The 19,367-nt window shown below is 50.0% G+C and overlaps 2 protein-coding genes and 1 pseudogene across 3 annotated transcripts in view, besides 2 other annotated features; 2 read left to right on the top strand and 1 right to left on the bottom strand.

The window, feature by feature from the left end:
* Positions 1–799: 799 nt before the first annotated feature.
* Positions 800–18,746, top strand: ARPIN (actin related protein 2/3 complex inhibitor). Of its 2 annotated transcripts, none has more exons than NM_182616.4 (6): positions 800–1,008; positions 2,933–3,008; positions 5,340–5,472; positions 9,769–9,975; positions 10,373–10,536; positions 11,949–18,746. In NM_182616.4, the coding sequence occupies exons 1-6, from the start codon at positions 917–919 to the stop codon at positions 11,955–11,957; spliced, it is 681 nt and encodes a 226-aa protein (NP_872422.1). In that variant the 5' UTR covers positions 800–916; the 3' UTR covers positions 11,958–18,746. The 2 variants fall into 2 exon arrangements, with proteins under 2 accessions (NP_872422.1, NP_001269309.1); NM_001282380.2 differs by lacking the exon at positions 800–1,008 and adding an exon at positions 1,065–1,700.
* ARPIN-AP3S2 (ARPIN-AP3S2 readthrough) overlaps positions 800–19,367 on the top strand; it is an 82,354-nt gene continuing 63,786 nt past the window's right edge. The window contains exons 1-5 of the mRNA NM_001199058.2: positions 800–1,008; positions 2,933–3,008; positions 5,340–5,472; positions 9,769–9,975; positions 10,373–10,536. Of these exons, the coding sequence (NP_001185987.1) occupies positions 917–1,008; positions 2,933–3,008; positions 5,340–5,472; positions 9,769–9,975; positions 10,373–10,536 (672 nt within the window). The 5' untranslated portion in view covers positions 800–916. The remainder of the gene's footprint in view (positions 1,009–2,932; positions 3,009–5,339; positions 5,473–9,768; positions 9,976–10,372; positions 10,537–19,367) is intronic.
* Positions 4,455–4,639: a silencer, noted in NCBI's record as "fragment chr15:90452345-90452529 (GRCh37/hg19 assembly coordinates)". NCBI's record gives its function as "represses an EF-1alpha promoter that drives an FKBP-Casp9 reporter gene in an ReSE screen in phorbol 12-myristate 13-acetate-treated (for megakaryocytic differentiation) K562 erythroleukemia cells {active_cell/tissue: K562(+PMA)}" and the evidence as "EXISTENCE:reporter gene assay evidence [ECO:0000049][PMID:32094911]".
* RNU7-111P (RNA, U7 small nuclear 111 pseudogene) lies at positions 16,115–16,176 on the bottom strand (annotated as a pseudogene).
* Positions 18,476–19,223: an enhancer, noted in NCBI's record as "H3K27ac-H3K4me1 hESC enhancer chr15:90437761-90438508 (GRCh37/hg19 assembly coordinates)". NCBI's record gives its function as "activates a minimal SCP1, AML or CMV promoter by ChIP-STARR-seq in primed H9 embryonic stem cells {active_cell/tissue: H9 hESC(primed)}" and the evidence as "EXISTENCE:reporter gene assay evidence [ECO:0000049][PMID:30033119]".

Genomic DNA, 19,367 nt, shown 5'->3' with positions numbered 1-19,367 from the left:
CCTCTCCCGGGGTACACCTGGCCTCCCTGAATGGGCCCACCTGCCCCGAGGCCTGGCACGAAGAAGCCAAACAAAAGAACAAAGATTCCTCAACAATCCCAGGGTCAGAAGAATCTTCTGTACCAGGCTTGGAAAATGCACCTGCGGACTATGACATACTTGGGCAAAGGGCATTGTGGGGCCAGGGAGGAGTTCAGGAGCTGTGCAGGAAGAAGGAGGGAGGGCAATGCTATGTTGTAGAAAGGGTGAGCTCATTAAACTTTACAATCCCCCTGATACTGACCCCATTTTACAGACGAAGAAGCATGGGCTCAGAGAGGTTGAGGAGCTTGCCCAAGCTCACAGCTGGGATTCAAACTTAGGCGTCTTTGGTCCGACACCCATGCCCCAGCTCCCTCGTCACAGATCCCTGGGATACCTGACTCAGCCATTGTAGGGCCGCGGGCGGGGCATAATGGACAGCTTCTAAGCTGACCACCCAATCCTCCCCAGTGGCTGTTCTCCATTCCTGCTTCCCAGAAACCCATCCTTCCCGGGCTGATCCTACAAAGGATCTTCTATAATAGGATCTTGGGGCCTCAATTTCCCTTTTGTGCGTGTGCTGGGGCAGGGATCTTCCTCTAGGAATGAGGAAGAGAGAGAGACAAGAGAAAAGCATGGCCTTTCTGCCCCACTGTGCTAAGCCCCCAGCCAGGGTCCTCCCGGAAGCCCAACTCCTGCCGCGCGCGGCCTGGCGTGCAGGAATGGAGCTCGGTCCCTTTAAATCCCGCCGAGGAACGCCTGAGGGCCGGGCCGCGCCATTCCCGGATCCGCCGGCTGGGAATCGCGGGTCCCCGCGCGTCCTGCAGCACTTCCCGCGCCGCGCCCCCAGCCCAGTGCGCCGGCTCTGTGCCGGGGTGCCCGGGCGGTCGGGAGAATGAGCCGCATCTACCACGACGGCGCGCTCCGGAACAAGGCGGTGCAGAGCGTCCGGCTGCCAGGGGCCTGGGACCCCGCCGCCCACCAGGGGTAGGCCTGGGCTCACGGCCTCGGGTCGGCCTCCCCTGCCCCGGCTCGAACCCCGCAACAGGATCGGGTGGGGGGGTGGGATGCGGGTGGGGGAAAACTGGGGTTGCCAAAGCCGCCTCTCCGCCTTCAGTCCGCCCCTCCAGTCCGCCGCTCCCGGCGCCCCTGCCGCCGCGCCCGCCCAGCGACCCCATGACACAGATCGGCTTAAAGCTCCCCGCCTGTCCGCCTGCCCTCGAGAGAGGGTCCCGACCCCCAGACAGGTCTCCGAAGGCTGGGCTTCGCCTCACGCCGACCTCCGGCCCCACCCCACCCGCGTAACTATAAACTCCAGCTACTTGCCGCGCTGCTTTTGCACAGACTCATGCCCTGCCCCAGAAGGGACAGTGGCCGTGCTGTGGCGGGAACAGCGGGCGGGCTGGTCCAGAGCAGGGCCTGCCTGGGTGAGGAGGATTTGGAGGGCCAGGCCCTGTCGTCACAGGGTTATGAGGCCGAAGGGACCATTCCATTTACAACTGCGCTGAAGAATTGTGCTAAGTGAAATAAGCCAGATACAGAAAGACAAATACTGTGTGATCTCGTATATGGAACCTATAAAAGCGTTGAACCATAGAAACGGCAGAACAGACCAGGCGCTGTGGTTCACGCCTGTAATCCCAGCACTTTGGGAGGCCGAGGCGGGTGGATCACTTGAGGTTAGGAGTTTGAGACCAGCCTAATGGTGAAACCCTGTCTGTACTAAAAATACAAAAATTAGTCGGGCGTGGTGGCAGATACCTGTAATCCCAGCTATTTGGGAGGCTGAGGCATGAGAATCGCTTGAACCTGGGAGGTGGAGGTTGCAGTGAGCCGAGATTGTGCCACTGCACTCCATCCTGGGCGATGGAGCAAGACTGTGTCAAAAGAAAAGAAACAGTAGAACAGTGAACAGTGATTGCCAGGGGATAGTGGATGGGGATGGGGTAATGATCAAAGGTACAAACTTTCAGTTATAGAATAAACAATTTCTGGGGACCTAATGTACAGCATGGGGTCTGGTGGGTGTGTTCATTAATCTGTGGTAATCATTACATAGTGTGTACTTAAATCATCACGTTGTGCACCTTGAATATATACAGTCTTTTGTCAGTTAAATATTTAGAAAAATAATTGTGGGGGGTGGGGAAGAATTGGATAGAGACCAGCTAGGTAGAGTTTTCACTTCCCACTCCCATCCCTATTCCACTGTCATCTTCAGCTGTCCCCATGCTTCTCCATTTCTGTGGATGCAAAAAAGGAAGCCTCCACGTTCTGCTTTTATGAAAACCAGAGTCGAGAAGCCAGGGGTCCACTTCCCCTCAGTGAAGGACCGTGTGATCTTGGACTAGTCTCAGACTTCTGAGTTTTGGTTTCTTCACCTCTCAGTAATAACCATTTCCTCGGGTTAATGACCACCTGGATATGAATGAGAAAAGGAATATGAGAGTGTTTAAAAACAGGTGGAAAGGGAAAATAGTTTATTGCAGCTTAGATACCTACCCTCACATTTGGACCAATAAAAAAGTAAAATCTTTTGTATTTAGTAATCACTTAATAGCTTACAAAACACCTTCACACACATGATCTTGTGTCAACATCAGAGGAGCAGAGTGAGGCAGCTGTTTTCCTCCCCATTTTGTAGATAAGACTGAGGCTCTGGTTCCAGTAACTCCCAGTGGCCTTGTAGGAGGGGGCCATAGCTTGATCTTAGGGCAGCCTGACAAGGTTCCTCCTGGCATCTGGGCAATGCCCCAGCCTTTGGGACCCTTTGGAGATCCCTATGTCGGAAGCACGGGGAAAGGAGCTGCTCAGTACCCAGCCTTCTCAGGGCTGGGTAAATAGGAGACACGGGTGAGATTTGCTGAGGACTGACAAAACTGGCTATCCTTTCTTTCCCTTTCATCCCCAGGGGAAATGGTGTCCTGCTGGAGGGAGAACTGATCGATGTATCTCGGCACAGCATCTTGGACACTCATGGCAGGAAGGTGAGGATGCTTCCTCGGTGCTAGCTAGAGGGCACTGACTTCACGGTCATCATCCACTGTGGCATCTCCTTGTGCTGGGTCCTTCCAGTGCCATGAGTTGGGATTCTTGATGGGCTTAGAAAGCAAGTGGGAAGTAGGTCAGGAGATTTATAGCCAAATGGGACCACCAGCTGGAAGAATAGTTTAAGGCTGTGTTGAGCAGCAGACAGGTGGGAGGGCCTGTGTTCTTGCCAGAAGAGCCTGGGTCATGGCTGAGAAGGCAGACCAGGCCCTAAACCCCAGTCTTGCCTGAATGTAAACTCTGACAGTGTCTGGGGCTTCAGTTCCCATGTTGATGTCCTGGCTGCCTTTGCCCTCTCAGCCTCCTGGGGTCATGTCCTGTATCACCACCCCATCTCAGGTGTCTGTGGGTACACCTGGCATTTACCATCCAGTACTAGCCTGTGTCTTTTTTCGGAGCGCTAGTTCCGACTTTCCACTCCCCCTTCAAATAGCCCCACCTAGATGTGCTGACCACCTTATCTCCTTGATCTCTATAACTGAGCTTGGTCTCTAAAAATGCCCCCTCCAGTAGGGCCAGAGGCCTGGTGCTACATGGAGCCTGCATGTCCCTCCTGTACCCCATGAGAACAGCTCAGCACTATTTTCATGTCAGGCGGTATTTTGCTGCACCCTCCCCTCCTTAGCACACAGTGGGCAGGTGGGAACACCCATCAGAGCCCCTAGCTAGCCTGCCCAGGAGAGCCCAGCAGTGTCTCCATGCTGATGTGGGGCTTGCTTGCCTCATCTGCCGTCAGGCAGGGCCTTCTCCTAGCCCCTCTTAAAACTTGCCTCCTCTGAGTTCCATTCCTGGTGATGGTGCAGTTGCCCTCCCAGCCACCGGGCTGGGAACCCTCACTGTCTCCTCCCCAGGTAAGCAATGCCAGGCCCTGCTGGCATTGGGCCCTTGCCCATTCCTCCCCCTCCCTTGCCTTCCCTTCCTCTTTCCATGGCTGCTTACCTGAGATGGGCCCTCAGCCTGTCCTGATAAAACCTTGCACCTGTCCCCCTGCCTTCTGGCTGTCCCCAGAACTCATCCCTGCCCTGCTGCCAATAGGACAAATGTCTTTCCAGAAATACATCTCTGAGGGTCTCACTGCTGCTCAGAAACCTTTCAGGATTCCTTGTCCATCAAATAAAATCCAAACTCCGAATGCCAACTCAAGACCTGTCCTGAACCAAGCCCACTTGCTTTCCCAGCCTGGGCTCCCAGAAGGCCTCCAGGTGCCCTGCGTGGCTCAAACATGCACAAGGGCCTCTTGGCTTTTATTTCCTATACTGTCCCAGGCTTTTAATATTATTCCTACAGCTTCTTATTCCCACAGTTGGCAGACCTCCCTACCCTCCAAGACTTCATCTTTCTTGATTCCACCAGGATGTGGCCTCCTATTCTTCAGGCCCTGGGAGCATTTCACCCACCTGCCTTGAACAACTGGCAAACAGCACTTATAGCACAGTTCACGCTTGGCACTGTGCTTGCCCCTCTGTTATCTCATTGAACCCTCATAATATTCTTAAACACAGACATCACGTTATCCCCATGTGATGGGGAAACTGAGTGGTTTGTCCCAGGCTGTTGGAAGGGGCAGAGTGGCTGCCCTCACCCAGGGCTCCTTTTCAGTGCCCTTTCCATTGCACCTTGGCAGCGCCCATTCCTGCTTCATGGTATTTGCGGTCCTCGGGCTTGGGTTATGGTTTTGTTTTGTTTTGTTTTTGTTTTTTGAGATGAAGTCTCATTCTGTCTCCCCGGCTGGAGTACAGTGGCAGGATCTCGGCTTACAGCAACCTCCGCCTCCTGGGCTCAAGCGATTCTCCTGCCTTAGCCTCCTGAATAGCTGGGATTACAGGCACATGCCACCACACCTGGCTAATTTTTTATATTTTTGATGGAGACAGGGTTTCACCATGCTGGCCAGGCTGGTCTCGAACTCCTGACCTCGTGATCCACTCGCCACTGCCTCCCAAAGTGCTGGGATTACAGACGTGAGCCACTGTGCCCAGCCCAAGTTATGGTTTTCTATATATACTTTTTGTCTTTGGCTGTGTGGAAGCCCTGGGCTTGCCCTGTTAGGAACTTCTAGCAGGGCTCATTATATGCGGCAGGTGCTCTTGTGAACCCATGAATGCATAAGTATTTGGGGGCAGAGGGAGCATCTGCCTAGCTTGAACATCTTTTGGAGCTGAGGTGGGCTTCTAGGGTAGATGTGAGGTTGGCGGGGCTGCAGCCGGAGCCCAGAGTGTGTGTGTTGTGGGATGAAGCCGCCCCCTCACTCTCTGTCTGCCTGGCCCCAGGAGCGCTACTACGTGCTGTATATCCGGCCCAGTCACATCCATCGCCGTAAATTCGACGCCAAGGGAAATGAAATCGAGCCCAACTTCAGCGCCACCAGGAAGGTGAACACGGGCTTCCTCATGTCGTCCTACAGTAGGTATCCTCTGCCCTCCCTCTCTCCCTCAGGGCCCTCCTGCAGTGTGGCGGCCTTTCTCTTCTGAGCCTCTTAGCCCCTGGAAAGTGTCTCTTCAGCCCTCTTGATGTTGAAGCCCTGTATGTGGCCTGAGGCTTCCACATCCACCCCTGGCCTTGCCTCCCATTTACTCAGAGGATCCCCGTTCCCTCCCCTCCATTCCAGGGGCCAGGCTGGCCTTCCCACCTCCTGCCATTTCCTGTATCTGGCAGAATCACCCACAAACCTGGCTTTGGGCTCTAACTGCCTTTGTGCAGAGCCCAGGCCAGGCCCTAGGCGGTCTCTGTTTTACTGCCCAAATCCTCTTTTGGTTCTGGGGTCTCAGTCCGTGCGTGCTATATAACAAAATACCTTAGGCTGGGTGATTTATTAACAATAGAAATGTGTTTGTTTATTTTATTTTTAATTTTTAAAATTTTTGTTTCTTTGTGCATTTTTAGTGGCTGGGTTTTGCTATGTAGCCCAGGCTGGAGTGTAGTGGTTATTCTCAGGTGCAATCATAGCACACTATAGTCTTCAAGTGATCCTCCCTCCTCAGCCTCCAGAATAGCTGGGACTGTAGGTGTGTGCCACTGCACCTACTTAAGAACAGAAATGTCTGGCTTACAGTTCTGGAGGCGGGGAAGTCCAAGGTCAGGGTGCCAGCAGATTCAGTGTCCGGTGAGGGCTTGCTTTGCGCTTCAGAGACGGTGCCTTCTTGCTGAGTCCTCACATGGCAGAAGGCAAGGCGGCTCTCTCTTCAATCTCTTCTGTAAAGCACTCATCCCACTCGTATGCCATGACTCACCTCCTAAAGGTCCCACCTCTTAATACTATCACATTGGTGATTAAGTTTCAACATATGATTTTTTTTCTTTTTTAAAAAAATTTTAGGGTGAGTGTGGTGGCTCATGCCTATAATCCCAGCACTTTGGGAGGCCGAGGTGGGTGGATCACTTGAGGTCAGGAGTTCGAGACCGGCCTGGCGAACATGGTGAAACCCCAGCTCTACTAAAAATACAAAAATTAGCTGGGCATGGTGGCGTGCACCTGTAATACCAGCTATCTGGGAGGCTGAGGCAGGAGAATCACTTGAACCCAGGAGGTGGAGGTGCAGTGAGCCGAGATTGCACCACTGCACTCCAGCCTAGGCAACAGAGTGAGACTCCGTTTCAAAAAAAAATAGTAATAATAATAATAATACTTTTTGATGGCCACTTTACTTCTAGGCATTATGTCCATACTCCATCAGTGGAGGAAAGGCAGCTGAGTTTGACTTTTTTTTTTTCCTTTTCTTTTGCTGTCTGAGACAAAGTCTGGCTCTGTCCCCCAGGCTGGAGTGCAGTGGCTCAATCTTGGATCACTGCAACCTCCGCCTCCCAGGCTCAAGCGATTCTCCTGCCTCAGCCTCCTGTTAACGTACGAATTTTGGGGGATACATTCCAACCATAGCAAGCCCTCCATGATCTTCTTCTTCTTCCTGATTTTGTCTCTGGTTGAGCCTCTTTGCTGTCTGCCCCTGGGTGAGAAGGTTTTGAGGTTGAGTGGGACTCTATCACTTTATTCATTCATACCTTCAGTTACTCATTGACTCTCTGAACATTAGGGACCATCTATATCATGTGCCAGCCCTTGTGCCACATGCTGAGAGGTCCAGGGATGAACAAGACCCAGTCGTATACTTGAAATGTTCTTAGTCCAGTAGAGGAGATGGACAGGCCCGGGCCTGGATCCCGTGAAGGGTGCTGAGCCCAGGCAGGCATGGCTGGGGATGCCCTAGAGCAGGGAATAACAGGACTGAATCCTGAAAGATAAGCAGAGGTCAGCCAGGTGCCAGGGATTTGCAGGGTGTTTCAGAGAGGCAGAGGGTGCCCAATGCCTGGCAGTTGAAGAGTTCCTGACCCAGGTATGAGAAGCCATGCAGGGCAGGCAGCAGGAGGGGCGGGCACTGAGGAGCTCAACTCTAACCAAGGGTGCAGGGCAGCCCTGTAGTGAGGTTTTAAGTAGGCAGGTGATGTGATCAGGTCTGTGTTTGAAAATCTCCAGGGAGGCAAATAGCCTGGAGCCCAGCGATGCCTGTGAAAAAGCTGTTAGGGTCACCTAGGACAGAGATAAGAAGGCCAGGATTAAGGACCTGTCAGTGGGGGTGCAGAGACTGGAGGAGCTCAAGCTAGAGGAGGCACAGTGGCCTCAGTGTTGGCTTGGCTACTGGGGAGGAAGAGGAAGGAGTCGTGATGATGCCAGGGGTTGGGCATCGGTGCCAGACTTGGGGAAATGGAGGGGCGAGAGGTTTGTGGGGAGGAGGTCTGTTTGGAACACACTGAGTTTGAGTTGCCAGGAGCACTGCTGGGTAGAGGTCTACTGAGGCCTTGGAGGATAGTTCTAGAACTTGGGGAGAGAACTGGGCTGCAGCACATCGAGAGTATTGAAGCTATGGAAGTGGACCCAGTTACCCAGGAGGAGAAAAGAAGTGGGCCCAGGAGGTTGTCTTGGGAAATAGCAACAATAGGAGATGGATGGAGAAGGAAGAGCAGGAGATGGAGCCACTGAAAGGTCCGAGGGATGGGAAGGTGTCATGTCTCTAAAGCCCCGCGAAGCCAAGGGGAACAGGCGTGAGGAGCTAGCAGTGGGGTCAGGCACTGCCCACGGGTTAGTTAGGTCTGAGATATGGAGCATCCAAGAAGTTTGCAGGTTAAGAGCTCACCGGTGACTCTGGTGGGGGTACATGGGGTCTGGAGCAGTAGGTGTCAAAGCCAGAACGCAGGAAGGCCTTGAGGAAAGGTCAAGGAGTGGGGAGAGAGAGACAGGTCCTCAGGAGGGGGGAAGGGGTCTATCTGCAGCCCAGATGGAGGAGCTGGCTTGAGGCAGGAGGAGAGGCCTCCTATCCTTTGAGACAGAAGGAAAGAGGAGATGTTTTGTGTGGTCAGACGTGAGTTGATGGCTGGGCGTGGTGGCTCACGCCTGTAATCCCAGCACTTTGGGAGGCTGAGATGGGTGGATTACCTGAGGTCAGGAGTTTGAGACCAGCCTGGCCAACATGGTGAAACCCCGTTTCTAACAAAAATACAAAAATTAGCTGGGTGTAGTGGCACACGCCTGTAATCCCATCTACTCGGAAGGCTAAGGCAGGAGAATTGCTCAAACTCAGGAGGTAGAGGTTGCAATGAGCCGAGATTGCACCACTGCACTCCAGCCTGGGTGACAAAGCGAAACTCCATCTCAAAAAAAAAAAAAAAGGGTTGACAGGTGAGTGGTCAGGGAAGTGAGAGGTCTCACTTGATGGCTTCTGTTACCTTGCAAAGAAAGTGAGATGCTCTGTCTAGAGGGTGTCAGGGCAGAGGGCTGAGGAGGATGGAGCAGTCCTGTGGGAGCAGCCACCTGTGCAGTCCCAGAAGGCACCCCTGGCAGAGGTTGGCTGAGGTTGTACACCATGAATGGAATGTGCTCCATGAAATGTGTTCATGGGTTGGCTGGGATGTTCTCCAGTGAAGTGCGGCCACCTGGGCTTGGCGTGGCGCAGGCAGCCTGTGGGACAAGCTCCGGGGTTGCTGTGCTGGGGTGTGGCCTTGTGAACACACAGTCCTGGGAGGCTGGGCCCACTTCACAGTCCGGGAGTGCCCCTTCCCTAATCCAGCACCTGGATTTAGGACTCCTCCCTTAGTCCATGAACTCTGCCAGGGCCAGGAGAGAGGAGGGGGACTACCAGAGTTTACTCCTGGTTCCAGTAGACCTCACCCCAGCCAGGTAGACCCTGAGAGCCTGGAGAGAACCCTGCCTGGCCACCGGGGTCTCAAGATGGAATGTGTTGGGGTGCTTTGAATCCTGCCTCCTCTACTACTGTGTGACCTTGAGCTAATTACTGAACTTCTCTAAGCCTTAGTTTTCTCATCTGTAAGATGGGAATAGTGAAAACATATGAATGCTTACCTAGGGGTCCATGTGCCAGGCGCTGTGCTACATGCTTTATTTCCTTTATACGTCATTTCAGTCCTGTCAGGTAGGTTCTGATTTTATCCTATTTTTCGGGTACGGAGAGGTGATGTAACTTGCCTAAGTTATTGTGGAGCCCAGATCTGCACCAGGCTGCCTGTCCCCAGCTCATGCCTGTCCGCCTCTGCTGTGGAGTTCCTTGATGAGGACTCGCAGAATGGGCACTGAGTCCCAGCCTCCGGGTGACTGAGCTTGGAAACACTCAGCCCTCACCTGGCTCCTGAGAGGCCCTCCGGAAGTTCTTGCTGCCACAGTGATAATGACCCTCCTGCGCTCTGTGCCTGCAGAGGTGGAAGCCAAGGGGGACACTGACAGGCTCACGCCCGAGGCGCTGAAGGGGCTGGTCAACAAGCCAGAGCTGCTCGCGCTGACAGAGAGCCTCACCCCCGACCACACAGTGGCGTTCTGGATGCCCGAGTCAGAGATGGAGGTGATGGAACTCGAGCTGGGGGCCGGGGTACGGCTGAAGACTCGGGGCGATGGTCCCTTCCTGGGTGAGCAATGCAACCCTCACTGTGGCCCACTGTTCCTGTGTGGCCCATGGGGGCTCTTGGCCTCCCTTCTGCCTAGAGCTCATGGGAGCAGGCAAGGGCTGGCCTCCATGGGGACACGACCAAGCCCTTGAGATTTACTCCTAAATCCCTGCACAAGTGCCCTAGGGCCATTGGGCTCGACAGCCTGGATCCCCGGGTGCCACCCAATCCCATGGTTCCTGTGAGCGACTCTCCCACCATACCTTGGGGGTCCCACCCAGGGGCTCATTGACCACATCTATGCCTGGAGAAAACAGTGGTTTAACCCAGGCCTAGGGGACCCCACCATAATGGGCCCAGCCCTCACTATGTTTCTGCCACAGGGACAGAGGACATTCAATTTCATCTCTTCTTTCAGATTCATTGGCCAAACTTGAGGCTGGAACAGTGACCAAGTGTAATTTCACTGGTGATGGAAAGACAGGGGCATCCTGGACAGACAACATCATGGCCCAAAAGTGTTCGAAGGGGGCTGCAGCGGAGATCCGAGAGCAGGGGGATGGGGCAGAGGACGAGGAGTGGGTAGGTACCTGGTGTTGGTGCAGTTGTATCTCCTGGCAGGAGCATGGTACATACTGGTTGAGGTTGTGGGTAGGATGAGAAGACGACAGGATGAATCTTACCCCCCAGCTTTAGTGGAATTCTGTGAAACACCTGGGAATGTGTTAGCATCAGGAGAATTCCTCTAAGGTATGAAGAATGACAACCTGGGACCTTTCTTGTAGGTGGCTCTGAACCTAACTATTCCCCAAAGATTCCCAAGTGGTAGGAAGGAGGGGGTGCAGAGGGATATTAATCATGGTCATTAAGTCTCAAAACATTTCTACTTCAAGTGAATACATTAACCATGCTGAGGCAGTTGAACAACTGAATGCGTAGTTTTTCCTCCTTTGGTTTGGGCTCCTTGCCTGAAGTGTCTGGAGAATGGCTGACCTGGTCCTTACTGGTTTTTCTTTTGATGAGAGTCAGTCCCCACGTTGATCCTCAGCCTATTCACAGTTGCTTTTCTTTTCATTTCTTTTCTCTTTTTTTGGGAGATGGAGTCTCATTCTGTTGCCCAGGCTGGAGTGCAGGGGCACGATCATGGCTCACTGCAGCCTCGAACTCCTGGGCTCAAATGATCCTCCCACCTCAGCCTCCCAAGTAGCTGGGACTATAGGCATGCATCACCACGCCTGGCTAATTTTTTTATTTTTTGTAGAGACGAGGTTTTGCCATGTTGCCCAGGTTCACAGTTGTTTTTCTGAAGTATATTTTACCCAAAGACTTGAATTGATGTCATAAGGCCCCAAAATGAACATTTATTATTTTATTTTATTTTATTTTTTTGAGACGGAGTTTCACTCTTATTGCCCAGGCTGGAGTGCAATGGCGCCATCTCAGGTCACTGCAACCTTTGCCTCCCGGGTTCAAGCAATTCTCCTGCCTCAGCCTCCCAAAGTGCTGGGATTACAGGCATGCGCCACCATGCCTGGCTAATTTTGTATTTTTAGTAGAGACGAGGTTTCTCCATGTTGGGCTGGTTGGTCTCGAATTCCCGACCTCGGGTGATCCACCTGCCTCAGGCTCCCAAAGTGCTGGGATTACGGGCTTGAGCCACCACACCTGGCCTCAAAATGAACATCTGAAGCAACGAAGTCACAGAAAAATGCACTATTTATCTAGGTAATGGAGATGATGTCTTTTGCCAGAGAAAGCAGGCGCACGCAGATGAGAGTGTCTGGATTCCTTTTTGTCTTCATAAAGCGAATCTTGGACTGAAAAACAGTCCAAGAGCTGTTGGAGCTGCCGGGCCAGCTCTAATGAGGCGCCCAGGCAAGCACTCATGGGCCCCACAGGTACCACGCAATTGAACCCTTGTTTGTCTGATAACTTGCAGTGACGTTTATGACATGTGCTGTCTCCACATCTCTTTACCCCTTGGATTTCTCTAGGATGACTGAGGGACGTGGCTGCCTCTGGGGGCACCAGCACCTTCTGTAGCATTGTGGAACATTTCTTCCATGAACTTCTACTCTGGAGCTGGAGAGAACAGTCTGCCAAGTCTTACCTGGTTCTTCCCCATAGCCACCTTGGAATACTCTTTGAACAAGCTCTGCTAAAACCAAACCCATGACCACTGTGTTGGTGGTGGGGCCTCATGCTGTGGCTCAGGGAGGGCCCCTCCCTGCATGTGAGTCTAGCCTTCCTAGACATTACATGATGACCCTTTAAAAAAAAATTAGAGATGGAGGTCTCACTATGTTGCCCAGGCTGATCTCAAACTCCTGGACTCAAGCGATCCACCCCCCTCCACCTCCCAAGGTGTTGGGATTACAGGCGTGAGCCACTGCACCCAGCCTCATGTTGACCCTGGCCCTGGATAGCAGCTTTGTTTGTAGAGGCAGGTGGTGGGAGAGACCCTAGGACAGCCTGAGAGTAACTGGACCTGGTATTGGTGCGGAGTGGGGAATATCCCTTGTCTAAATGCAGAGCAGCTGAGAGAAGTTAGCGGGGCTCTTCCTCCGTTCTCATTGTTTCCTGCTTTCCTTCCCCACCCACCCCTTCCTCAGCACTCTGTGTTGTAGCCTGTACTATCCTGCTTCAAGCCTCCGTGTCCCTTGTACCTTCCCCCTACCTTGAGTTGCCAGTTCTTTACTCCCTCAAATGTTCCCATGCCACCTCTGGGGTTTCTGTTATCTGACATCCCTGGCTGCTTTCCTGGTAGATGCCATTCCCAGAGAGGCCAACAGCGTTCCCAGGCGTGGCTGGCTGGTCCGCATCTCTCAGACTCACTCTGCCAGGCTACAGTTTTGAGAATACCTTTTTTGTTGTTGTTTTGTACCTGGAGAACTTTTTATGAATGAGTAAATCTTCAGAAAGGAATTCCTCCACCCTTACTGGGTTATTGTCAGGTGTAAACGGCCTTTCAGCTGAGCAATGTTCCTATGAGAAGGAAGCCATTTCTCTTGGCTCATGAACACTGCCTTTTGGGTAGTATACCCACACCCAGATCTGTGAAGAGACCTGGAATTGAAGTCTCCATGTCGTCAGGACTTGGTGGCATGTGGATCTTGCTTGACTTGGGAAAAGAGAGGGTGGTGGTGAACTAATAATTATGGAGTCCCCCTAATGTGTCGAACACAATGCTAGATGATTTCCATGATAATAATTACTCATACTTGTGCTAAGCACTTGCGATATCGTACTTCTCACAACAGTCCATGAGGTACTGATTATTATTCCCATTTTCTCATGAGACTAAAGCTCAGAGCTCTAGGATAGTATACAGTGGCAAGAGGAATTTACATCCAAGCACTCAGATTTCAAAGCCCACATTCTTAACTACCGGACTATTCATATTACAGAGCAGGAAAAGGGTCTCAGACAGGTTAAGCAACCTGCCCAGAGTCACACAGCTAATGAGTAGCAGAATCAGGATTCAAACCCAGAGCTGTCAAAAGCAAACCTTATGTTCCTTCCACTGTCCCCTGCTTCCTTGCCCTTCAGAAAGGTCTTGGAAACAGGGGCCAGAGGATGTGGTAGCCACTTCACTGGTGTTCTGTGTCTGAATGGGACTTTCTCACAGGCAGGCCATGCTGGGACCTCAGCCATGGGGGTGGCCAGGGAGGTGGTTGAGCAGAAGGATAGCTGGGGACACTGACTGGGGGTAGAGTCACCCAGTGTCTTTAGACATCCTGCTGTCTAAAGCACTGTGTCCAAAGGGTATGGCACACTTATATGGACAGGTCACCATTCCAAACAAGGAGGCCCAGTGTGTCAATAGGAGAGGTCCTAAAGCAACAAAAAGGGCGGGGTGTCTTGGATGGGCTTCAGGAAGGGAAAGACCATTGTGTCTGGAGCTCAGAGAATGGGGGCTGGTGTTTGAGATGAGGCTGGAGATTGGGCATGGCATCCTCACGCATGTTAAGGAATTGGGGACTTTATCCTTAACATCCTGGAAGCCAGTGATCCCATGGAGAGTGAGAAGATCTGATCTGTGTTTCAAAGGTCACTTGACTGCCGAGCAGCTGGAGGCGAGTTGCTCCTTTAGGAGACTGCTGCAGTTGCCTGGGTGAGAGGCTAGAGGGGTCTGGTCTATAGCAGTGGCAGGGGAGATGGAAAGAAGAGAATGATTTGAGGGGCATTCGGGGGGCAAAATCAACAGGACCTGGGGGGAGACGAAGGGATCAAGAATGATGCCCAGATTCTGGGTGAGTGGCAGTGCTGTGGTGCACAAGTAGTGATGTTATGTTTCCGGGTGACCTGCTGTTTAGCAGGAGCCCAGCCTGTGGCTAAGAAGTATAGAGAACTGAAACTAGCTCCCTAGGGATGGGAAAACCAAGTGGGCTGAGGATAAGAACAGGGCCCCAGGGCTGGGTGCAGTCGCTCACGCCTGTAATCTTAGCACTTTGGGAGGCCGAGGTGGGCGGATCACTTGAGGTCAGGAGTTCGAAACCAGCCTGATCAACACAGTGAAACCCCGTCTCTACCAAAAAATACAAAAATTACCCGGACATGGTGGCACATGCCTGTAGTTCCAGCGCCTTGGGAGGCTGAGGCATGAGAATTTCTTGAACCCGGGAGGTGGAGGTTGCAGTGAGCTGAGATTGCCACTGCACTCCAGCCTGGGCAACACAGTGAGACCCTGTCTCAAAAAAAAAAAAAAAAAAAAGAATAGGGTCCCAGGCTCAGCAGGTAGGGACACTGAGGTAAAATCCTATTCCCTAGGACTAGGGACTAGGAAGGGAGAAAATAGGAAGCTGCTGTGGCATAGGCATCTGCATGGGCAGATGGTGAGGCCAAAGCCCCTGATTTTGCCATACCTCCTGCCCTGGTCAGGACTGGTTCAGGCATTAGGGCAGGCCCAGCCAGGGCAGAAGCCTTCCTAGATACACCTGTGGGGAGTTGAGGAACTACAGCAGGGCTGAAACCCTGCTTTCAGGGGCCCCCATGTGGCTGGTAGGGGCAGCTTTTGGAAGCTAGACTGGATCCTATTACTCCCCAGATGAAAAGTTCAAATTCCTTAATACAACTCAGAGCTCATCACAATGTCACAACCCTCCTTTCTCGGCTCGCTTCCTCCTTAAGAGCTCTGGGGCGATTCTTTCAGACCAGCCTGAGGGATCTTCCACAGGTTGTTAATAGGGCTAGAAACAAAAAGTGGTGGTGTTTCTATGATCTAATTTGTTGGAACAAACGTAGTGTTAAACTCAAACATTTCTGTAGGATTTCTTGGAGCTTTAACTATACTAACATTTACTGTAACTCTTCAGGACAGGGTATGATTACGTATTTCCCACATTTCTTTGGTCAGAGAACCCGTTTTTGTGAGGAGCATTTCATGGGACAGCTGTTGTGAGAAACAGTTTGGGAAGGGCTGTGTTGGTCCCATGGAGGGGCTGGCTGTTCCCAGAGCAGGTCACTCCCCCACTTGCATTGCCTTGCCTGGACTCTTTTCTTGGAGGGAGGTCCCTTTCCTCTACCCATCTGAATTTTTTTTTCTTCCACCAGTGTCCAGCTTGCCTTTCACCATGGGCCTAATGATGGAAATTACAGTTATTTTGTATCTTCAAACAGAACCAAGCAAATCCTCTGAGCTTCATTCATATGGGAAATTTTCTTTCTTTCTTTTTTTTTTTTTTGAGATGGAATTTCGCTCTTGTTGCCCAGGCTGGAGTGCAATGGCTCAATCTCGGCTCACTGCAACCTCCACCTCCCAGGTTCAAGAGTTTCTCCTGCCTCAGCAGGAGGATTACTGTAATCCCAAGTAGCTGGGATTACAGGCCTGCGCCACCACGACTAGCTAATTTTGTACTTTTAGTAGAGATGCGATTTCACCATGTTGGCTAGGCTGGTCTCGAACTCCTGACCTCAGGTGATCCACCCTCCTCAGCCTCCCAAAGTGCTGGGATTACAGGCATGAGCCACAGTGCCGGACATTATGGGAAAATTTTTTGAGGGACTAAACTAATCTCCACAAATAGCAATGCATTTAGGAAATATATTTAAAGGGGAAAAAAAGACTCATAGTTTCACTCAGTCATGTTCATAATTTTTAGTATTTGGGTTTTTTAGCATGTAATTTGTGTACATAGTTTTGGTTTTTGTAAACTTGCATAGGGGTTTTCTGGTACAAACTGGAAAACCTGCTAGACAAATTCTGAAACATCTGTAATGCTTGTAGGTAGTTGTTGTAACACTATGCCCACACATAATCACTTTCCATATTGCTGCATAGTCTTTGTAACCATTTTTCTTCTTCTTTTTTTTGAGATGGAGTTTTGCTCTTGTTGCCCAGGCTGGAGTGCAATGGCGCGATCTTGGCCCACTGCAACCTCTGCCTCCCGGGTTCAAGCTATTCTGCTGCCTTAGCCTCCCGAGTAGCTGGGATTACAGGCACACGCCACCACGCCCGGCTAGTTTTTGTATTTTTAGTAGAGACGGGGTTTCACCATGTCAGCCAGGCTTTTCTTGAACTTCTGATCTCAAGTGATCCTCACTCCTCAGCCTCCCAAATTGCTGGGATTACAGGCGTGAGCCACCACGCCCACCTGTAACCATTATTTTTAAGATTGCTACCATTGGATAGTTCTGTCATGGTCCAACTTTTGGATATTTAAAATTGATCCCTGTGTGGCTAACAGAATTAATGTTTCCAAAAATGTTGAAAATTATATAGTTCTCTTAATTCCCCACCTCTAACTATATTTTTGGGTTATTTCTTTAGGAACAGATGCCCAGGAGTCATATTACTGAGAATCTAGAAATCTTTTGCAAAGTTCTTGTTATATTGCCAAATTGCTTCCCAAAAGGGTTGTTCTAAACCATAATTTCACCAGCAATGTAGGGGAGAACCATTTTTATGCTGCCCTTGTGAGAATTGGGTATGAAAACATTTTTAAAATGATTTTTGATGAGGTGAAAATAATATTTGAATATATTTTAATTTGCCTTTCCCCCACTTATAGTGAGCTTAAACATTTTTTCCTTTTCCTAGCTGTATTTCTCCCTTTGTTATTCGTTCTTTCGTCCATTTATCTACTGGGGAGATGGGGAGTGTTATCTTTTTAGTTTATCAGTTATTTGCATTTTAAATATAACCATTTGCCATATTTTAACAACGATTTTTCCATTAAATAATTCTTTTTATAAAAAAACTTTATATATCTGTTGATGTTTTGTGATTTTTATTGCTTCTAAGCTAATACAGATTTTTGGATCTTATTCAATTTCGCTTTCTTCTGTTTAGGTTATTATCTGGTTTTATACCTAACTACTTATTTTCAAATTGCTAACCAGTTATCCTAATAGTATTTACTGAATTCCTTCCCACTCCTACATCACATATTAAAATTATTTTATGCCTAAATTATTTATAATATTTCAGTTATTCTTCCTATAATTACAATTTGAACCATCAAAGTAGGTTTTCATAGTTGGCAGAGCTAGTTCTTCTTCATAATTCTGTTTCAGAATTTTCTTTGATATTCTTCCTCAACATTTTAAACATTTTGTCAAGTTTCAGTGCAACTGACTTTTGGTTTTTATTTATTTAAAAACTGGGCCATGCCGGGCGCAGTGGCTCACGCCTGTAATCCCAGCACTTCGGGAGACTGAGATGGGTGAATCACTTGAGGTCAGGAGTTTGAGACCAGACTGGCCAATGTGGTGAAACCCCATCTCTACTAAAAATACAAAAATTTGCTGGGCATGGTGGCATGTGCCTGTAATCCCAGCTACTGGGGAGGCTGAAGCAGGAGAATTGTTTGAACCCGGGAGACGGAGGTTGCAGTGAGCCAAGATTGTGCCACTGCACTCCAGCCTGGGCAACAGAGTGAGACTCCATCTCAAACAAACAAACAAACAAACAAACAAAAAACTGGACTAGGCGTGGTGGCGGTTTGGGAGACTGAGGCTGGAGGATTGCCTGAGGCCAGCAGTTTGAGGTTACAGTGAGGTATGACTGTGCCACTGCACTCCAACCTGGGTAAGACCCTATCTCTGAAAAACAAACAAGCAAACCCCAGAACTCTGGCTGCAAAAGTAGTACATATTTCTTTGAAGGAAAAAAAGGAAAACTTGATAATCCTACCACCCAAAGATGTTTTTAAATCACTTATGTGGTACTCAGTTATGTGCCATGCACTGTCCAAGTGCTTACAAATATTATACTAACTCCCTTTGTGTTTATAACAACTGTCTGAAGTCAGTAGACTCATTTTCCAGTTTTCCAGTTTAGGAAACTGATATTACACCTTTTCTACAGATGGGGAAACTTGCCCAGGGTGCCCAGGCAGTCCGCAGAACCATGCTTTGAATCAGGGCAGTGTGGTTCCAGGGTCCTGTACAGATCAAACACCCTGACTCTGCCATTCCATCAGATACATGATTCATATTTTGGTGTATTTGCCTCCAATCTTGAGCAAAGTGGGTTGTCCCTGTACATACTTTGTGTAATCTTTTAGCTTAACAGGTGTCATGAACACTTCCGTATCATAAATCTTTCCCAGCATGATTTTTATTATCTATTTAATATTTCTCATATTCAATGTAGAACAATGCACTTAACCAATTTCTCATTTTTGTAATAATTTTCTTCCCATTTTCCCCTGTAATAACACTGCTGAGATATATATTTTTTTCTTCTTTTTTTTACTGTTCTGAAGATACTCTGGCAGAAATGTATGTTCCTCAGGCTAAATCTTTTCACACATCCACAATCATTTTATCATAAATTCTAGAGCTGGAAACGCTGAGTCTAATGTTTTATATATATATATATATATGTTATATATCTGTCACCCAGGCTGGAGTGCAGTGTGGTGTGATCTCAGCTCACTGCAACCTCCGCCTCCCGGGTTCAAGCCATTCTCCTGCCTCAGTCTCCCAAGTATCTGGGACTACAGGCGCGCGCCACCACAACCGGCTAATTTTTGTAATTTTAGTAGAGGCGGGGTTTCACCTTGTTGGCCAGGCTGGTCTCGAACTGCTGACCTCAAGTGAGCCGCCCGCCTCGGCCTCCCAAAGTGCTGGGATTACAGGCGTGAGCCACCGCGCCCGGACTGTTATATATTTTAAAGGCTTCTGATCCATATCGCCAAACAGTCCTCTGGATCGATTTGCATCTGTATCCGCTGCTCCATCTGCAGTATACGGACATGCTCCACTTCACCCACACTGGGTCATTAAAAGAACAAACAAAAATAAGAACTTGATCGATTTGGGATTTTAAATGGAAATGCACTAAAAATTCCTTAATTCCACCATTCACCGTCTACCATAGAGGAACAGCCCATCTGCACGGAGAGACAGCTACGTAATTCACTGCAGCATTATAATACTGAAAAATTAAAATGAACGAAATGTTCCAT

Source organism: Homo sapiens, chromosome 15 (genome assembly GCF_000001405.40).
Source record: "Homo sapiens chromosome 15, GRCh38.p14 Primary Assembly".
Taxonomy (NCBI): Eukaryota; Metazoa; Chordata; class Mammalia; order Primates; family Hominidae; genus Homo; species Homo sapiens.
Note: the sequence above shows the minus strand (reverse complement) of the source record. Positions and strands in the feature narration are given on the sequence as shown.